The 21,985-nt window shown below is 38.7% G+C and overlaps 1 long non-coding RNA gene across 1 annotated transcript in view; it reads left to right on the plus strand.

The window, feature by feature from the left end:
• Positions 1–21,638: 21,638 nt before the first annotated feature.
• Positions 21,639–21,985, plus strand: part of LOC107986931 (uncharacterized) — a 290,196-nt gene continuing 289,849 nt past the window's right edge. Inside the window, exon 1 of the long non-coding RNA XR_001745844.1 lies at positions 21,639–21,708. This is a non-coding gene — a long non-coding RNA (uncharacterized LOC107986931). The remainder of the gene's footprint in view (positions 21,709–21,985) is intronic.

Here is a 21,985-nt window from a genome sequence, read left to right on the forward strand (position 1 = left end):
CATCTATAAATTCTGTTTGCTGTCCCTTAAAAATGATTTCAAATCTGAACATACTTCTTCACTTACACAGCTACTCTGTGGTCCAAATCCCAGCCCTCTCTGGCCTAACACTGGAGAGTTTCTCACCTGCTCTCCTTGCTTTCACTCTACTCCTCCTGTTGTCTCTTATGTGCACAGGTGCCACACCGGGAATTGAAAATGCAAAATAGGTACCACCATCTTGCTCAAAACTCTCCAGTGTCCATCTTCTTATTGCACTTAACATGATACCTGAAGTTCTGACCAAGGCTTACAGGATGTTACTTGATCTGAGACTTGGCCATTGCTCCAACCTCATTTCCTACTGTTCTCCCCTTTCTGGCTTCTCTACCAACACTGGCTTCTTGTTGTTCTTTGAACATGTGTACGAATCTTTTAACTTGATGTTCCCTCTGTTTGGGACACTTTCCCCTAAGGTTATTGACATAACTTTCTTCTTCACTTCCCTTGCATCTTGGTTCAATTTTGTCCTTCTCAGACCATCCTATTCAAAATAGCAATTCCCTTCTGATCCTCATTACATTGGTGACGCATTCTGAGAAAACACAAGTCCAAAATTCAAGAAAGCATTGGATTGTAGTTTAAATCATTGCTCCCAAAGCTGGGTTGCAGTGGTATTTCTACACCAATTTAAGCGCTTTATGCAGATTGTCTCATTTAATTTTCACCACGACTCTTTTGATCAGTGTTTCCTATTTTCAGATCATGAACCTGAAGATGAGAGATGATTTCCTGTAGTGTAAGTGGAGGAGCCAGGACTTGAACCGCGGCAATGGGGGTCGGCACCAACAGGCTAAACTGCCTCCCAGGGCACTGGGCACATCTTTCCTTCTCACCCTTGCACTGTGTCACAAGGGGCAGCAGCTGTCTTTAATTTCATGTTTCACTCTCTCAAAATTTCCCCCTTTTTTATTTTCTAAAACTCAGCCTACACTGATTAATTGCTGTCCCATGCTCTACTGCCTTTGTCCTGGGTCTCTCTCCTTCTTAGACACCTCCACTTTAAAGCAATCTGGAATCCCTGACTTCTCCAGCTCTATATTTTTGGCCAGTTTGTCATCATTTGCATAAAGAAGCTCAAAAGACAGCCTGGGGGCATGCCACACCCTCCTACAAAGGGGCAGGAGGAGAGACACAATTCTCATCACACATTTTCAAGTTTCTAGAAGATGCCTCTGCAATACTTCAGTACGGAGCACACACTTCCTGAACTACTCCAAGTGGAAATGATTTCACCTTTCTCTGAATCTTTATAGAATGTGTTTCTGTTTCTATTGATTTGACCCTAGTATTTAACCATACAAAGCGAATGGTAGGTGTGTTGCCTTTAGCAAGTTATTCATCACTTTGTACCTTAGTTTCTTTCTCTGTAAAATGGAGAAAATAATATCTACACTTCAAGGTCGTGGGAGGGATTAAATAACGCAAGATACCTATTAATACTTGGCATACAGTTGACAATCATTAGTCATGAGTTCATCTTGAATCTGATTCTGAAGGCAGAATATGTATCTTTCCTCATACCTGCAGTGTTGAGTCATTGTATTAGTCCTGAGGAAGTGACTGGAAAAGAAGTCTCAATTTCACTGCCAAAGAAATAATTGGATCAAGGTTACATAGCGTATTTAAAAAAAAAAAAAAACAACTCAAGCAAACAAACAAAATAAATGTGTGCATGCTTATAACCCTCTTATGCATGATTTCCAGGTCAGACATTTCTAAATGTAGCCTTCTGTGGACACCTTTGAGCACTGAATGACAGATGGCATAGAGTGATGGACAAGGAAATGGACCCAGATAGGAAATCTGGGTTCTAACCATTCCTCCCTAGCTACGTGACCCAACTTAAGGTACTTATTTTCCTTAGGCTCAGTAGGTCTTTTTTTGTTTGTTTTTGTTTTTTTATCCTTTAAATGGGAAATACTAAAAAAAAAAAAAAAAAGCAAAACAAAAACAAAAACAAAAACAAAAACACCCAACAACCAAACAATAGGGATTTCTGCTTGCTTCATAGATTGGCTGTGTCAAGAAAGATAACCTACATTAAAGTATTTTGTGCATTCAAGATATGAGAGATTAGCTTAATAATTTTACTGTCTCCCTTTCAATTGAAAAACAAAATGCAGCTATAAGTAAATGTTTCCTACAATGTTGGGTTCCCAGATACATTCTGCAGATATTGAACAGCTTCTACTCTTGTTAGGGACATGTTACTCTAGGATAACTGCTTCAGTGTGAGGATTAGGAAGGGCATGATCAACAACTGAATCTTGAACCATGGCTGACTTCCAAAGGCCATTGCTTCACCTTTGATAGGACAATGACTCAACCTCCAGGGCTGAGTGATGCCTGTTTGCCATGGAGTGATCTCTATTTTCCTCTCCATATACATCCACACATTTTTTCTGTCTCTAACTCTATATCTCTGTCTATATGTGTGTGTATATATATACACACGTATATATGTATACATATATACACACGTATATATGTATACATATATACACACGTATATATGTATACATATATACACACGTATATATGTATACATATATACACACGTATATATGTATACATATATACACACGTATATATGTATACATATATATACACACGTATATATGTATACATATATATACACACGTATATATGTATACATATATATACACACGTATATATGTATACATATATATACACACGTATATATGTATACATATATATACACACGTATATATGTATACATATATATACACACGTATATATGTATACATATATATACACACACACACACACACACATACCTGTATCTATCTATCTATATACCTATACCCATACCTCTCTCTCTTCCTCTAGTTTTTTCTTAATCTTGGCAGTTCTTGATCCAAATTCCTCTTTTTGCTGCAAAAGCTAGCTTTATTCATTGTCAAAAATTTATTCATCATCATAAAAACAAATGCTCCAGAATAGTTGATTACCACACAAATAAAGTCAAATTCATCTCTCTATTTTATCTCTATCCATCCATTTACCTGTCTATCCATCTATCAATTCAAACTCTTGTTCAGCCCATCCATTCAATCGTACCTGCTAGAGTTTATCTTCCTTTCTTTATCTTTTGCCTATCTTTGGGCCCAACCTGGAATAGAAACTATGGCTTCCATCCAAGAAAGCATCATTCAAATTGTGCTCAGCCACATGGCAGTCTAAATTTGGAATCCACAAGGTTTTGAGAATGTCTTTCAACCTTTGGGTGATTATCTGAACTCAATTCAAACCTTCATGCTTGAAGACTCTGCTATTGTTAATTATGGCTCCTGTTCGCCGCTGGTCAGTCACCTGGCTGTTTTCATTTTGCCTGGGAAATGACCTTTTACAAATTCCCTGGATTGTTTGAAACCAGCTGCATGGCAGAGGCTGGTTGATGATGGGTGAACCAAAGAAGGTTGATAGTTTTCAGCTTAGCCTACCCTGGACGAGGGCCCGAAGCTCCTGGCTTTGAATAAACTCAAATAGAATTCACCTGGAAGAGCAGCTTTCCCTAACAGTTGTTTGTGTTACAGACTTAGCCACAAAAGCCTCATGAGAATGCTGGGTCAGAAAACACAGGGATGGGTGTGATTTGGGGCCGAGCGGGGATAGGGGAGCTGATTACAGGATATGCTCACCTCCCCCACCACGGATGTAGCTTTGGTTTGGTGGTTTGATTTTAGTATACCCTAAACTAATTTAGTCCTATCCATACTAAATTCTAGTTGGGCACTTGAGAAAGAGCTTTTATTTCATCCTTGGCTTTAAAAAAATAAAGGCAATATGTTCTTTTTGAAGAGAAAACAACAAAACAGGTTTTGCAAGGGCTGGATTTTCAGTTCTGGAGTTTCCCACACTATCTATGGCCTAAAGGCTTGGCAAGGGCAAACCAGGGCTGTTTAGGGTGAAAAAGATAAAACTAATATCTTAAGCTTGTGTAGAGCTTTATACTTTAAAATGTCTTTTCAACCATCGCTGACTGCAAACTTAATCTCTGCCATGCAGTGTGCTGGGGAAATAAAGGAATAAAGTGAGGTCCTTGTTCTCAAAGAGCTCATGGGTTAGTAGAAGGAGATCAACACTGATGTAAGCAGATGTAACAAGACAGTTTCATGCCACCATGCCAGGAGAGAGGAGGGAGGAGCCAATTCTGCTGTGTAAAAGGTAAGGCAGTTAGAAGAGTAGGACAAAAGTATTATAGAATATTCAAGCTTAAAGGGACCTTAGATTTTATATAATCCTACACAATCATTCTAAAGATGAAAGAACTTCATCCCAGCTGTGAAATGACTTACCTAAAGTCAAACAGCTGGATTAGCAGTGCAGTGGGTCTAGGATGCTGAACTTTCAGATCTCAGGGTCGTAGTTCTTTTTTTCCCCACACTGCATGGCAATATCTCACATTCTCAGCAAGGGACCTGAGCACTTCCGTGGGGTACTGCACTGTGCTGGTGAAGAACCCACGAACTCCTCTGTCTTGCATGCAGGGCTAGTTCAAGGCTGACTGGGCCTCCAGTCTGTGTTCTGTCTGCCTTTCTCACTCTTTCATTGATGACCAGTGTTTTGATGCTCAGGGTCTCTCCAGGAATCACATATACTCGTCCATTCTAAGGAGTTAATGGTTTCCTTTTGGAATCTCTTCCAGAGTACAGCACTTAGTATAAGGTCTCAGGAAAAGCAACTAATAGCAGACTTTTAGGCACTTAGTAGAGATATATTTGGGAGACAAGAATCTTCCTGTGTCCCCTCAGTCACTCTTCACTGAAGACCATTCAGTACGTCTAGTTTTAGAAGTGAAATTGTCAGGGAGAACCTCTGCCTTGTTGTCAGAAGCAATCCTTAGCTCGTGGAAGTGCATTGGGAAGCCACACCATGGCTCACAGGTGAAATTAGATAGAGGGGTAACTGGCATTTTACGGGAGGAGACTGAGAAAGTGATGTGAAGTCTAAGGTCACACAGCTGGCAGAGGACCTCCAGTGCACATGCTGCCTGATGGAGATTTAATTGACATCCCTCTTACCAAGCTCTGGTTGAGTCCAGATACTCACAGATGCCGTGGGAATGGTGAGGTTTGAGAGCGAGGTTTGGAGGCTGAAAGCTTTTCTGTATGATCATGGAAATCCATTACCCTCTGTGCTCTTGGGAATGCCTGCTCTTCTTCCCTGCATTGGTCTGAAAAAGAACAAGCAAACAAAAGTAAGTATTGCTTTCCCCTGTGTTTGACAAGCACTTTATGTTGTGGGCCTCTTTTGTTACTTAATTCCTAGCTGATTTTTGGCTCTGTGTGCAGAATATTGGCTCTTGGGACAGTTGTGTGTGTATATGTATTTTAATCTCTGTGTGTCAATATACTAAAACAATGAAGTCTCAAAGTTTGTTTCAGGCATCTGAGTATGGTAAAATTTGGCTTCTGGAAGGTCTAGGTCCTGGAATTTTCTAGGCTAAAAGTTTTTCAAGTTGTTTAAAGTCATAGAATCTTTATGTAACAAAGAATCTCATAATTGTGTCTAAAAATTTACTTATATATGTGTGTGTGTGTGTGTACACACCCACACATACATAGTTTTAAACTATAATATCTATTTGAAACTATATCTATTACTCCTTGCCATGGGTATATTGCAACTGACCCTTAATATATTGCGCTGTAAATAATGCTAGAAAGGAATCAAGGATGATAAGTGAGTATAGGAAGGGAGAAGAGGGAGAAGCATATAATAATTTGTTAAGATAGAATATTGACAAGCCTTTTTTAATAAATAAAAATACTGCATCTGACGTATACGTGGAAAAACATATACACATTTGCACAAATTTAAAATAGGAAATAAAGCAGAATTTATATCCATTTATAATAGAGATCTATGGGAAGGTTGTTGGTCTCTAATGATAACGGTGCTGCCCAGGAGGAAGTGTGGAGTGCCGCATGAGAGAGTTGGGGGCGGGGGAGGTGCTAAGGTTTCAAGCCAGCTGCTCCCACTTAACAACTCTATAAGCTTGGGACTATTACTTTCTATGGGCTTCAGCTTCCTACTCCGTAAAATCAGGGGAAATGATGTTTCTTCAGAGAATAATGAAAATTAAACAAAATCTTAAGTTGCTTGGCACATGACCAGCATTCCATAAAATGTCAGTTCCTTTCTTAATCCTAGCATCTTTACTGTTTATGGTGGTAACATAATACTTACATATTGTTATGGACTGAATATGTCCTCCCAGAATTGGTATGTTGAAACCCTAACCCTCAATGTGCTATTTGGGGGTGGGGCCTTGGGAGGTGATTAGTTTAGATGAGGTTATAAGGGTGGGACCCTCATGGTGGGATGAGTGGCCTTATAAGAAAAGACACCAGAAAGCTTGCTTCCTTTTACTCTCTCTTCTCCAAGTAAGGGCACAGTGATAAGGTGACCGTCTGCAAGCCAGGAAGACAGCCCTTATCTGGAACCAAATTGGTCAGCATGTTGATCTTGAATTTCCTAGCCTCCAAATAAATGTCTGTTGTTTAAGCCACCCAATATGTGACATTTTGCTATAGCAGCCTGGCTGGCTAACACACACTTGACGACATCTTGTTTGAAAAGGTAGTTATGGCTTGATTCCTCTTTTTTTTTTTTTTTTTTTGAGACGGAGTCTCTCTCTGTTGCCCAGGCTGGAGTGCATGGTGCGATCTCATCTTACTGCAACCTCTGCCTCCTGGGTTCAAGCGACACTCCTGCCTCAGCCTCCCGAGTAGCTGGGACTGCAGGCGCCCGCCAGTACGCCTGGCTAATATTTGTATTTTTAGTAGAGACGGGCTTTCACCATATTGGCCAGGCTGGTCTCAAACTCCTGAGCTTGTGATCTGCCCACCTTGGCCTCCCAAAGTGCTGGGATTACATGTGTGAGCCACCACGCCCGGCTGGCTTGATTCCTATTTTAAGGATGGCAAACTGGAAGTCTCAGAGAAGTTGTGAAGTCCAACATCACAAGAAAGAGCCAGCATCAGGATTAGAGTTTGCACTTCCAGTGTCTAACTCAGCATTATTCCATGATACCATACTTCCTCTCTTTATAATAATTAGGGCTGTAACGTCAGAAATGGAGATGGTGTGGGGTTCCATCTTACTTCATTGTTTTTAATTTGGTTTCTTGTTTGGGTGACAGCAGATCTTCTTAACCTGGAGCAGTTTTGCCACTGCCCCTCCGTCCTGGGGAGTATTTGGTATATTTGGAAACAGTTTTGATTGTCTCTATTTTGACTGGGGTAGAGGGTACTGCTAGAATTTTAGTGGTTAGAGACCAACGATGCTGCTTACCATCCTACAATGCATAGGATAACTTTAATGGTTGAAAAACCCTGGGTTATGGTCATACAATGGAATGCATTCTCTACCCGGAGACAGCAATACTTGTACTGTTTGCCTTTTGCTGTGACTGAAGAATTTAAGGATTGACATCTTGCTGCAAAGTGTAATATAAAGCTAGAGGGGGAAAATACAACCAGGCTCAGAAACAATAGTCCCTGAACACTTTAAAAAATATTATGGCATTGACAAAATCATATTAAAATAACAGGAGGTATCCAAGATAAAAATATTTCTCAATTTCATCACCTAATTAAATCATCCCCATATATATTTAAAATGTGAGAAATTCATAACACCATCCAAATTCTAAGTTTATTAGTAAATATTCAGCTGGTTCTCATGGTTGTATAATTCTACAGAATTGACAAAACGTATTCTAGAACCTTCCTTACGAGTCTGTTATTGAAGAAATGAACCGGAAGCTGGGCGCGGTGGCTCACGCTTGTAATTCCAGTACTTTGGGAGGCCGAGGCAAGTAGATCACTTGAGATCAAGAGTTTGAGACCAGCCTGCCCAACATGGTGAAATGCCGTCTCTACTAAAAATACAAAAATTAGCCAGGTGTGGTGGTGCGTGCCTGTAATCCCTATGAGGCTGAGGCAGGAGAATTGCTTGAACCCGGGAGGTGGAGGTAGCAGTGAGCTGAGATTATGCCACTGCACTCCAGCCTGGATGACACAGTGAGACTCAGTCTGAACAAAAAAGCTAGAAAAAAAAGAAAGAAAGAAAAGAAGTGAATTGGAACTTTGTTAATTGGATCTTTGGCTATTTTGAACCCCTATAATCTTATTTAACAGAAAATATAGAAATGGCAAGAAAAAGAAATTTATATGAGGGATTTGTGAACAAATTTCTAGGGCATTTGCAGAGGTCAATATGGATTTCAGATTCCCCCACTCTCTGCAGGCACTTGAGCAATCTGGTATATGATGTAAATGATCCCAGGCCCTTGTGTTGCCTCAGTTGTCCTGGACAAACTTCGCCTGACTTTGCCAAGGCAGGAAGGTAAACCCAGAAAAAAAATTGCACCAGCACAAAAGATTGGGAGTGAGGAGAAATTTTTTGGAGTCGGGGGGAGGGGGTTGGATTAATTACCTGAAAAGCTCAGTACTCCAGGGTATTCTAACCAATGGAATTTTATTGCAAAACACCCTGTATATGTGAAAGATTGAGTAGGAGGCTAGAGGAGGATGCATACTCCAGCACAGAATGCTGTTAGAGGTGAGAGTTTACTGCAAGAAGCTCAAAGAATCCATCCTCAGCCAAACCTCCTGGGGGTGTTAAGCTGGGGGATCTTGGATGGTGACAACTTGCATGATTCTGTCACCAAAGCATACTCAGATTGTGGCAGAGGACTTCTTCCTTTGGAACATGAGATATAGGACGGGCATGGAACGCTTGTGTGGTGGCTTGGCAAACCTCTTCTTGAAAAAGTGAATTTGATTTAGAAAATAAGAAATGCACAGAAAATTTAAAAAATACATACCAATAATTACATACCAAAATACATAATTAACAGTATGATGTACACTTTGCACCCCTGACCCAGATTGTCCAATGGCATCATCTGGCCTCAACAGTTCCATCCCACTTGTCATGTATATACACACTGCCTTGGTGCCAAACTGTTGATAAATAGGCTGCAAACATCGTGACAATTCACTTCTAAAAGCTTCTGCATGCAACTCCCAGGGAAGAGAGAATTCTCATACACAACCACACCCTTAACAAATCTAAGGAAATTAACAATAATTTCATATCATCACCCAATAGTCTGTAAAGTTAAATATTCCCAATTGTCCCGACAATGTTCCCTATACCCTGTAGCTATTGCATTGCCCATGTATCTCTTTAGTTTCCTCCCATCTAGACCAATCCACAAGTCTTTCTTTGTTCTTCGTGACAATGAAGCTTTTGAAGAGTGTGAGATTGGTTTGAAAGTTTCCTCATAATTAAATTCAGGTTAAACAATTATGGCAAAGTACACACAAAGAATGTGTGTACTCATGGTACCACACAAAAGGGCATACAGTGTCAGCGGTCCCACTACTGGTGATGTCAAGTGTGACTATTTGGGTAAGGTGGTAACTCCCAGATCTCTCTGTTGAGAAATACATCCTCTCCACCTCCCTGTCCTCCTCCCCACACCATCCCTGGAATTTAATAAATAATCAGTGGGGTGATACTTTAAGATTCTATTTTTTTAACATACATTGATGATTTTTGCCTTAATTATTACACTGGAGGATTTTCTAATTTTTTGAGTCCTTTTACACTTACTAGTTACATTCTTTTGTAAAAAGAGATTTTCCTTTCACTCTTATTTCTCTTCTCTCCCCTCCCCACATTTCCTCTTCTTCCTCTTCTTCTCCTCTGCCTCCTTTTCCTTCTTTTTTTCCTCTCTTGCTTTTACTTCTTCTCTTTCTTTTTCTCCTTTATCTTCCTCATCTCTCTTTCTCTGTTTTTCAAATATCAGTATTATAATAACATCTGCATTTCTTCAGTGTTACATTTGATTATTATTGTTACTCCTTATGATCTGCAATCATCCCAGACTTGGGTAATGAGAGCCCCTTCAAGACAGCTCCTCCGTCTTTTGACCTGTGTCCATCATCCCTGGACTCTTGCTTGATTCTGGCTGAAGATGTGTCAGGCTTTTCATTGTCCAGGCCTGGAGTCAGCATTTCTCGAGGAATAGTGGTTCCTATTGGTGGGGAGTGGTATTTAGAAATGCACACACAAACACACACACACACACACATATGAATGTACACTTCACATATACATCCTATTCATGTAGAAAACCACAAAATTTCCCCCCGGCTTCTCTCATTCCATATCTGTGTCTTCCTCTTGCAAAGTGGAAACCCTGGCTCCCTAAAATATTAATTTACTTACACATTTACTCTATATTACACCACAGACAAAGTAGTTCCAAATTACAGCATGAACGCCACTAGGAACAGCAAACCTAATTGTAAAATTCACAATTTGTTTGCAATTCATCTTCTTAGACTCCATTAGTTCCCCCTTACCTGAAGTTATGCTTTTCAGTGTTTCAGTTATCTGCGGTCAACCCTCTGTCCAAAAATATTGAATGGAAAATTTTAGAAACAATTTATACATTTTAAATTGCACACCCTACTGCAGAGCATGATGAAATCTTGTGCTGTCCTGTACCTTCCTGCTCTGTCCTGCTGGGATGTGAATCATCCCTTTGTCCAGCTCCTCCATGCCGCGGATGTTCCCTGCCTGTTAGTCCCTTTAGTGCCGTCTTGGTCATCAGATTGACTGTGATGCCATCACCATGCTTGTGTTCAAGTCACCCTTATTTTACTTAATAATGGCCCCAATCCACAAGAGGAGTGATGCTGGCAATTTGGATGTGCCAAAAAGAAGCCATAGGATACTTCCTTTAAGTGAAAATGTGCAAGTTCTTAACTTGAAAGAAAAAAAAAGCATATGCTGTTTTTGTCCAGGATCTATGGTAAGAGTGAATCTGTGAAATTGTAAAGAAGGAAAAAAAAATCATGCTAGTTGTGCTGTCACACCTCAAACTTTATCATAGGTGCATATGTTTGTACAGAAAGAAACAGCGTATATAGGGCTCAGTACATCCACACTTTTGGGTGTCCACTGGCGGTCTTGGAACGTAGTCCCCATGGATAAAGGGAACTACTGCATATCCTATTGTATTCATGTTACTTTAAATAATGATTTTTCTCTGTGTATGTTTTAAACTTTATATATAGTTTGAATCATTTGTTTCTGTTTGTATTCAATTCTAGGGTTTGCCTTTTATATTCTTTGCAACTTAAAAAATATGTAAACTCTTAACATGATTGAAAAGTCAAAATTATATAAAAAGATATACTCAAAGAAATCTCATTGCTTCTTATACGCTCTTCACTCCATTCCCATCACCTTCTATGGATAATCATTTTCATTACCTATATTCTTAAGTAAAAAGTAAACAAATATGCTTATGTGTGTTCTTATTTTTCCACTTTTCTTTTGGAAAAGGCAACACACTCTACAACCTCTTCAACACTTCAATGTGTAATGTACATCATGCAAGTCACCTCTCCCCTCCCTCCCTGCCACAATGCCACCTTCCAGAGATGCCACTGTTCCCAGCTAGCCATCTGTCCTTCTACCTTCCCCTTGAAGAGTTCTAAGTAGGTGATGGCACCAGGTTGGAAGCCGCATGTGATCTCCCTTCTCCGCTGCTGTATGATTCCCAGTGTTTTCAATATGGCCCAAATTTGAGCTTCAAGCTGCTAGTGCCTACAGCGGTTCCTCATTCAGAAGCCTGGGTTGACTCTTAACTTTGATGCTGCTTTGCAAATTCAAGGCTTTCTTATGAGGAGGGCTAGAGAGAAAGGTTTGTTACCACCATCCTCTCAATTAGGTGACTCTCATATACTGCGCCTTCTAGCATGATGGCCATCCAGGAGAACGATACACACAATGTTTGCCTCATGATAAGGCCTGGCTTCCAAAGGGGCTGCAAGTTTATGTTTGGTTATAAATTTAACGGTTGGTTGAAATTACTACTAGGAATACTTTGAATGGTGGTTCAGCTTCTGTTAGAGTTCGGCTAGGCAGATCCTGCTGGAAAACCCATTTAGCTATAGAAAAGTGGCTGGGCTAAGTTTTTAAATTTATAATTCCATTGTTTATAAAAGCAGTCTCCTTCTAATTCCTCTTTACCCCAGCTCTATGAGATATCTCAAATTTTACTTGTTTTCTTCAAGTATAGAGTTTATCAGTTAGGTAATGAACCAGAAAGATCCTTTCTGGCTCTGACCATCATTTCGGCAGAAGTACCACAGCTGTGACGAGAGCAGCCTGCTCAGGGGTGGTTTGTTAATGCCTGGGGGATATGGACAGGGTCAGGATGGCCATGCTAGGGAGGGCTTGCTTTATTAGGTTGGAAAATGTCACATGGAGGCATGGCCCTTTCCCCGAGGGGCTCTTGGAGAGGAAATCATAAACACAAGGCTTTGGAGCAGAATCCCTGGAAAACCATTTATTGCTACAGTTTCATGGCTTGGCTCTGGAATCTTGTCTCCAGCACAGCTCTGATTCCAACTCTCTCTGCCCTGCCCAAGCAACTGGGTCATGTCCCCACCAGGGTGTTGGACACTCAAATAACTTTCATAGACAAAGACAGCATGATATTTGCCCAAGTCCCTCTTGGTGTCCTATGTAGAGTCCAAATCCTTCAGCAATGCATTTGGAGGTCTGCCAGAATCACCATATGTCTGTCTTAAAAATGTCTCATCTTATTCAACAGGAAACCAGTTTAACACTGGGCCCTGGGCTGAAGGGGTCTTATAATAACATTATACTTTATCAGGAGGAGAAGCAGAGAGGCTTTTGCTCACAGCATGAGGGTTCAGGCTGAAAATCTCCTGGGGCATCACTTTTAGCATCTTCTTCCTCCACAAAGGCAACATTTCTCAGAGATTGTCAGGAATGAAGCATGGGGAAATAACTTATCCCAGGCCTCCTTGTGCAGAGGCTGGAGAAGAGGGATTGATAGTGACAAGGATTCTCATCTCCATTCTAGATGAGGGGTGGGGTAAGTGTTCTATAGCTCGACTCCCCACCCACTTTTTTGTCAGTTCTCTGACTTCTTCAATGCCCTGGAAGGTGGGAGTGGGATTCAAGGACAAAGGGCAGTGGGAGTAAGGGGGAGAAGAACTAAGATCTGTCGAGTGCTTCCTATGTGCTGGGTAACATCCATGCTTTGTGGTAACCTGACAATCACCCTGTAGGTTAATCTCTGTACTCTACGGGATAGCAACTGAGTCTCCATCACACTGAATGACTTGCCCAAAGTTAAGCAGAGAGTGAGGGGTGGAGCCAGTATCTGAACCTAGGCTTGCCAGCCTTGTCCAGTAAGTCACACCGATGCCCTTCACTAGTGTCCCCAATAAAGGATCCTTATAGGAGTGAAAAATGGGTTGGGAGGAAATAGAACAATGCCCAACACTCAGAGCAGAGGCAATAAAAGTTACCCTCACTCCTTTCCTCTCCATTCTCTCTTTCCGTTATCACAGGATTAGAGGTGGTGAGTGGGTGGCAGCAGGTGGTGCTTCTGTGGAAAGAAGTAAAGCGATACCAAATCGAGGCCAGCCAGAGGAGGACACTCTTTTGAGAATCTGGGGAGCATGTCAAAAGGCACAATGATCATTTTCTCTCTCTTCTTTCTCTTTTTGGTGGTAAGACTTCCTTAAGTCTTCCTTAAGGACAAGATGCATTTAGCTTCAAAGATACTGTTGACTGTTGATAGCTACAAGTAGCAGCTCTCAAAGTTTTTGGTGTAGGTCCTTTCACGCCATAAAAATTATTAAGGAATCTTAAGTGGTATTTAAAATGTGTATCATATTTATTGGTGTTTACTAAGGCAGATATTAAAATAGATAAAAATTCAAATACTTATTAGTTTCCTTAATAGTAACAACAATATACTGTTGTATGTTAAATTACATATTTTAATTAAAAAGAACTGTATTTTTCAGAACAAGATATTTATTGGGTAGAGTTGCATTGTTTTATTCTTGCAAATCTCTTTTATGTGTGTGTCTTAACAGAAGACAATAGCGTTTTTATATTTGCTCATACATTCAGTCTGTTGGAATGTACTATTTTGGTTAAAGTATATTTGGCAGAAACTTTATACAGATATGTAGTTGGAAAAGGGAGTATTTTAATTGCCTTTTCAGATAACATTACTGTTCTTTGATATGTCAAAGCTCAACAAGTGGAGATTTTTAAAAGGTTGGTGCAATGCAGAATATGAAACCATATCAATGAACTTTATGTGCTCTGTGAAATTGAGATATATTGGTCTATCTTCCACTTTGAATATATCTTCATTCATGCATGATTTTATAATTTTCCTGCATTGGTGATTTGGAAGATATTAGCTCATCGAGTCATGCGAATCTTCCAAATGTTAATTGGTTTTATTTTTAAAAGTCACATTCATTAATTGCTAACCTCATCAGAAAAGTCACTAAGTATTGGAAAGCTATCAAGCTCATAACAGTGGATACAAGTTTTCTAATATTCTTGTTTCTTTTGAAAGCTCAAACTTTATCATTGGCAACAAATGCTGATTGTTTCTCTTTAAGTGACAGATTCACTTTGTTCATTTTCAAGAAAATGTCTGCTAAATGCACGAATCTAAATAACCATAGTATTATGACTAGTCATTCTTCCAAGTAAAAAATGTTGCTGCATTAAAAAATCGGGTAGTTTAGCTCATAGTTTAATCACATCAGTGCTTTTTCTTGAGACAATCATTGGATGTAGGTGTGTAGCAGAAAAGCTTTATTCCTATTTCCCACTTAGTTACACCGAATATTAAAAAGACATGTACTCAAAGATTAAAATATAATAACATTACTACTTTTTCCTGCTTTATGAAGGACATTCTCAAGATAAATTGGCATTTTTCCTCCGTGCTAGTATGTGGTGTTGAAGAATATGGCCACTGGTAGAGTTTGATGTCACTTCCTTGATTTATGCTAAGTGAACAGCAATTTTATCTACCATTCCTGTGCCACTATCAGTGCAAATGTCAACATTGTTGGTCCAGGATAAAACATGAGATTTTTAAAAGTTATTAAGCACTTTGAATATGTCAGTACCACTGTGTTTGTTGCCAGGCACTTACATAAAACATCTTCTTTGATCATTAGTTGTTGCTGATACCAGACAAATTCAAGCAAAACAACAAGTTTAGCCATATCTATAGGCTCACTGAATTGTAAACAAAAGTGCAGTTGTGCAGAGGAGATACTAACTCAGTTTTTCTGTTTACAGACACATTTTTAATTCATCAAGTTACGTGTTTTTTGAAAGTGGCAGTGTCATGATTTTGTTAACAGACTTTTCGTCTAGTAGGCAGTTGGCAGATGTCAAATGTGGATGCTTTAGTAACATCTCAGTTATTATATCCACTTCTCAGCCAATGCTTTAGCTGCTGAATATCAAAATGATACCACACCTTAACTGACACCAAAATACCATTCAACAATATTCTGTTACATAAGACACACCTGGTAAATTATTATCTATAAAACCAAGGAAAAGATAACTTTTGCTTATTTTTATTTCTTATTTACAGTTTTGCCCAGTTTGGGGCAGTTTCTTCCCTTTCATGAGTCAAAGGACTCTGATATGTCAATATTATCTTTATTAGCATTTTAGAGCTAGATAATGCAGCTGTGAGTTGAAAAAGTAAGTCTCTAATTTCTCCCTTTAAGCCAACAATGTAGCCTAAAAAATGCAAGAAAAGCATATTTTAAATGCATTTTTATTTATTTTAGAATAAAATTCTATTAAGTCCTAAAATAATGTTTTAGATAAAATAGAAAAGTCTTAAAAATTGAAAAATAATTTTGCAAAAGAATACAGAAAGTATATTCACCTTTTTCTTGTGCTTCTGCATAGGTATGAGGAAAACTTGGGGATTTTAAAGTAACAGCTTATTGGACAGAAGGAGATAACACATATCAGATTATAGATGGTATAAATGGAAGTAGCTGGCAAAATCTCAGTAGAAATCCCGAGAACAAACTGAGCTAACCTCTGGAAGCATATGTGTTTATATCCTAAACCTACAACCTTACAAAGTTCTGGAAAACCCAGAACACAGAAACACATATTTCATTAACCATCAGAACAATGGAATTATTAGACATCATGTGGCTTCAGGAAAATACCTTATACACATGTGAAAGAAAAAGAGTGAAGAGGGCAAATGACATTTGTATTAGTCCGTTCTCGCACTGCTATAAAGAAATACCTGAGACTCGGTAATTTATAAAGAAAAGAGGTTTAATCGGCTCATGGTTCTGCAGGCTGTACAGGAAACATGGCAGCTTCTGGGAAGGGCTCACAAAATTCACAATCATGGTGGAAGGTGAAGGGGAAGTAGGCATGTCTTTCACAGCCGGATCAGGAGGAAGAGAGATGTGGAGATGTGCTAAACCATTCATGAGAAATCTACCACCATAATCCAACCACCTCCCATCAGGCCCCACATCCAACATTAGGAATTACAATTCGACATGAGATTTAAGTGGGGACATAGATCCAAAGAGTATCAATGTCTTAGTAATATGGCAAAAATTATCTTGGCATCATGGACTCTAAAAGAACTACTGATTCTTTGAGAGCTGCTGGATAAGGGGGGACTGAACAAGGTTCAGAGCAAAGAAAGAAAAAGGTAATCATTTAGGACCTGTTTTTGATTTTTAAGGGAAAGGGATAAAGGGGACATGAAGGTTCCACAATGTCAGGCCTACCTTATCTGAGAAGGCAGGCAGAGAGGAACTTGAGAACAGTGGCCCTACTGAGGAACAGAGGCTACAGATAGCTTGAACATATTTTGTGTGTGTGTGTGTGTGTGTGTGTGTGCGTGTGTGTGTGTGATTCTAAGTTGACTCTACATAGCAGAGGATTGCTGGCCTAGGTACCAGTCTCATGGAGAGCTGGGAAGACCTAATAGTCATCAATCGATAGAAGGCCTTTTAAAGGTGAAAGAGGAAAAGGAACAGAAAGACATGTATATTAAGAGATTGCGTTTTTTCACACTGAATGTAATGTTTCTATTCTTGTTTTTTTTTAAATCATACGGAAAAAAGTAAATATTTATTTCTTTACCACTGTTCTTCCATTGTAGTTCCTTGTTTTCATCCCCCACCCCATGTCCATTTCTTTGCCTAGAATTTTCCTGTCAAATGGTGAAGAATCTGAGCTGACCCAGAGTTTGATAAGGAGCAGTATTGGGTCTTCAGTGGCAATGATATTGTCTGGCAAGAAATGGTTTTCTTTGGAAATAGACAGTGCGCTTCTGACTCATTCTCCTGCCACCAAATTGTAACTGGCCTATTGACAGCTTCCACTGCTTTATACTTCTTCATCTCTTCCCTCTTCGTCCATTAGAGGATTTAAGGTGAATTAAAAACCAAACCCAAAATATAAACAAACTTAAAACATTACAGCAGTCTAGTTCATTAGAACTTACTGCAATGATGGATATATCCCATATCTGTGCTGTCCAATGTGGTAGCCACAAGTGACATGTGGCTATGGATCCGAGAAATGCAGCTACTGCAACTGATGAATATTTTAATTTAATGTAATTTGAACTTAAATAGCCAAATGTGGCTTGTGTCTACTATATTTTATTGCACATCTCTAGAAATCATTGGCCCTGACCAATCTTTCTAGTTTCATCTTTGGTCTCTGTACTCCTAAATCCCTTAGATTTCAATAACATATCTTTCCTTCATAGCATTTATTCATGTTGTTTTCTCTGCTTGATGAAATCTTACTTGTCCCTTAAATTGCAATTTCAATGCCATCCATTTTGCTAAATTTCCTCAGCCTTTGGAGCCAAAGTAATTGTTCTTTACTCTGTGCTCACATAGTATTTTGTTCATGCTACTAAGAGAGCACCTGCCAAGTTGTCTTTTTTTGTAGTCATAATATGTTTGTCTCTCTCATGCATGTCCAATACAGATGCCACTGGCCACCTGTGGCTACGTAAATTTAAGTGAATTAAAGTGAGATGAAATTAAAAGTTCACGTAATTAGTTGCACTTGCCATTTCAGGGATTCAATAGCCACATATGGCTAGTGCTACCAGATGGGATAGCTGGGATAGCACATATATAGGGCATTTCTATCATTGCAGGGAGTTAAATTTGACAGCACTGACTGAATTATCTGATTGCAAAGACTGTTCATCTTTGTGGCACTAGGATATTCATGGTGTCTGAAAGGGAGTAAACACTTATCCTATCAGGCCATGCCAAGAAGACAGGACTCATGGGCACATTTAATGCTCGAATATGAGAGATAGAACCAAAAGCCATTTGATGAGTTGAAGAATCAGGATATTGGAAAAAGACTGCTAAACACCAAAGCCTCTTGGGGTGGTAATAATGATGGCATGGCCAGGGATTAGATACCTAATGAGTTAGCAAATCAGGGCCAAAATCAGAGAAAATTCGCTAGATAAAATATGGGCACTAACGTTGTAATCAACGTTTTTTGGACAGGCATTGTCTGCACTCTTGCTAAATTATTGGTAATTTTAGAGTGCACTTAAGGCCTGGCTTCTATGAGATGAGAGATAGTGCTCACTAATTGTAAAATAAAATGAACAAAATGTAAATGCAAATTATGTATTTTAGATATAAAGTATATAAGTTATAAGCCATGTATACACTGAAGAGACAAATAGTTTCTCCAGTCAGCAAGTTCCTAGTCTAGGTAGAGAGACACATATACAACCAGCTAGAGCAGTATGATAATGCTGTATTAATATGAACAAAACATGGAACCCACTAGGAAAGGTGATTAATTCTACTCTGCTTTTAATAGCCACATTCTTTCAATATGAATCCTTCATTTGCTCAGTGCTGCACAGGTACAGAAATGTTTGTCAAATAGAGGAATGGATACCCTCTTAACAAACATACTGTATTTCTGCTTTTTGTAATCTGGGTATCACCTTCTCATTACAGCTTATTAAGATTCCACCAACATCACTCCTGAATACTTGGACAACTTTCCTTTCATCACTAGACAATTACTCAACCAATGTTGCTGGGGCATCTACAGGGCATCCTGCTTACCATTGGGTGCTTTGGAAGATAATGGATAGGTGCTTATTCTCAAATAGCTTAGGATTTTACAGGAAAACAAGCATAGTGCACTTATAAATATCATCACCAATCCAGCGTACATTAAATATCAGATGAATGGTATAGACATTAAGTGCTAGGCCAGTTCAGAGGAGGGAGGGATGTTTTCCAGCTGGTGTGATCCAGCTGCTGTGATTAATCAGCAGAAGGATGCCCCAGGGGATGGTAGCTAGAAGTCTGTTTTCTGAGGTCTTTACTGCTAAAATAAGCCATTCTAGGGAATAAGGAAACTGACTCCATGAAAACAGTCCCACTCTGCCTTCTTTCCTAGAAGAGCCTTGGTAAGTGGACTTCCCACTGTAATTCAATGACCAGCAGCTTGACACAACTGTTGTAGATTGTCCTGTTTATTTTATTTTATTTTATTTTATTTTATTCTTTTTCTTTTTAAGCTTCTTTTGGGTATGAATTAGGCAAAAGAAATTTCTTAAAGTCACAAAAGTACCATTCTGGTGTCAGTTTTTGTACATTGCAGAATGTCCCCTTATTGTGTGCTTGGGAAACTCTGAATCTCATGATTTATTTGTAATTCATTGCAATGTGGAGTAAGATCTGGATTTAAATTTCAGTTTGCCACTTGCCAGCTGTGTGACCTTGGACAAATGAATGTCTCTAGTCTTTCCTCACTTTTCCACTTTTATCCCTATTTTCTGCTTTTATTTCTGTGTATGTAGTTGTTAGGTGACACTACAAGTGATCAGTTTATTCAATACCTTTCAGTTTAATAAGATCCAGGATCTCTTGTTTATAGACTTTTCTTTCTCTATCAGATATAATTCTTTCTGTCTGTAGCTTCCCTTTGGACATAGATTATATTATACTATTTCCAGTGTAATTGCCTCAAGAAAGGAGGCAGAAACCTTCATCAGGACCACCTAAAATAAAGGCTTCACTTTAAAATACTCATAGGCGACATTCTCTCTAAATTTAATGTCAATTATGGTATAGAGATATGGGTTTTGTGGTGCTGAAAGATTATCCTTTTGAAGGTGGAACTTGTCATTTATTTCTTTTCCCATACTTCTTGTTATATAGATCTGAGATTCTGGCCTATACTATTTTTCTTCTCCCTGAAGAATTTTTAACATTTCTTACAGAGCAAGTCTGATAGAAAATTTTCTTTGTTTTTGTTTGTTTGAGAAAGTCTTTATTTCTCTTCCACTTTTGAAAGATAATTTTGCTGGACATAGAATGCTAGGTTGGTGGCTTTTTTTTTCTTTTTTGACATTTAAGTATTTCATCCCACTCTCTTCTTGCTTGCACAGTTTCCGACAAGAAGTCTACTGTAATTTTCACCTTTCTTTCTCTATAGGTAAGGTCTTTCCCTGTCCTTCTCCACTCCCCACTACCTTCTTTAAAGATTTTGTCTTTGTCTTTTTTTTTTTTTTTTGGCAGTTTAATATATTGTGCCTAGGTTTACATATTTTTGTTATTTATCCTGCTTAGTGTTCTCTTGGCTTCCTGGATCTGTGGTTTGATGTCTATTTATTATTATTTTAAAAATTCTGAGCCATGACTCCTTCAAATATTTCTTCTGCTTCATTCTCTGTATCTTCTCCTTCTGATATTCCAATTATCTGAATACTTCACCTTTTGAAATTGTCCCACAATTCTGGGATGTTCTTTTCTTACATTTTAAATTCTTTTTTTTTTTTCTCTTGGAGAAGAGAAAGTTTGGAAAATTTCTATTTGAACTATCTTCAAGTTCAGTAATTCTTTCCTTGGTCATATCCAATCTACTGATGAGCCCATCAAAGGCATTCTTCATTTTTGTTACAATATTTTTGGTTAATCACATTGGATTTCTCTTTCCTGGAGTTTTCATCTTTGTGTTTACATTATTCATCTGTACTTGCTTTTTTTTCTTTCTCTTTTTTTAAAAAAAAACAAAACTTTTCATTAAGCCTTTAACATATAATCATAGTTATTTTAAATTCCAAAATCCATGCCATATCTGAGTCTGATTCTGATGCTTACTTTTTTTAAAAAAATTGTTTTTCCATAAGTTATTGTGGTACAATGATATTTGGTTACATGAGTAATTTCTTTAGTGGGGATTTGTGGGAACCTGGTGCACCCATCACCTAAGAAGTATACACTGCACCATATTTGTTGTCTTTTATCCCTCACTCCCCTCCCACTCTTCCCCCCAAGTCCCCAAGGTCCATTGTATCATTCTTATGGCTTTGCATCCTCATAGCTTAGCTCCCACATATCAGTGAGAACGTACTATGTTTGGTTTTGCATTCCTGAGTTACTTCACTTAGAATAATAGTCTCTAATCTCATCCAGGTCATTATAAATGCTGTTAATTCGTTCCTTTTTATGGCTGAGCAGTATTCCATCATATATATGTATACCAGAGTTTCTTTATCCACTTAATGATTGAAGGGCATTTGGGTTGGTACCACAATTTTGCTATTGTGAATTATGCTGCTATAAACAAGTGAGTGCAAGTATCTTTTTCGAATAATGACTTCTTTTCCTCTTTTCAGACGTTGTTTTTTTACTAACTTTTTTGTGGAAACTGCACATGATATGTTGGGTAATAAGAACTGAGGTAAATACGTCTTTTATCAAAACATCTCTGTACTCATATAAATATGTACAATTATTATGTGTTCTTTAAAATTCCTTTTTAAAATGGGAAATAATAGGCTTTACTGTGAGGTTCTATGTTAATCTGTCTAGGAATTGGGCTGTATTTAATGTTTGTTGCAACTGTAGCTTCTAGAGCTCTATGTTTCTCTGTTGTCCTTGTTTCCTCTGTTGTCACTGGGCTTTCCTGGGAGCTCCTCCTTAGATAGTCTCCAACTTGCAGTTCTTTTAGCTATAGT

Source organism: Homo sapiens, chromosome 8 (genome assembly GCF_000001405.40).
Source record: "Homo sapiens chromosome 8, GRCh38.p14 Primary Assembly".
Lineage (NCBI taxonomy): Eukaryota > Metazoa > Chordata > Mammalia > Primates > Hominidae > Homo > Homo sapiens.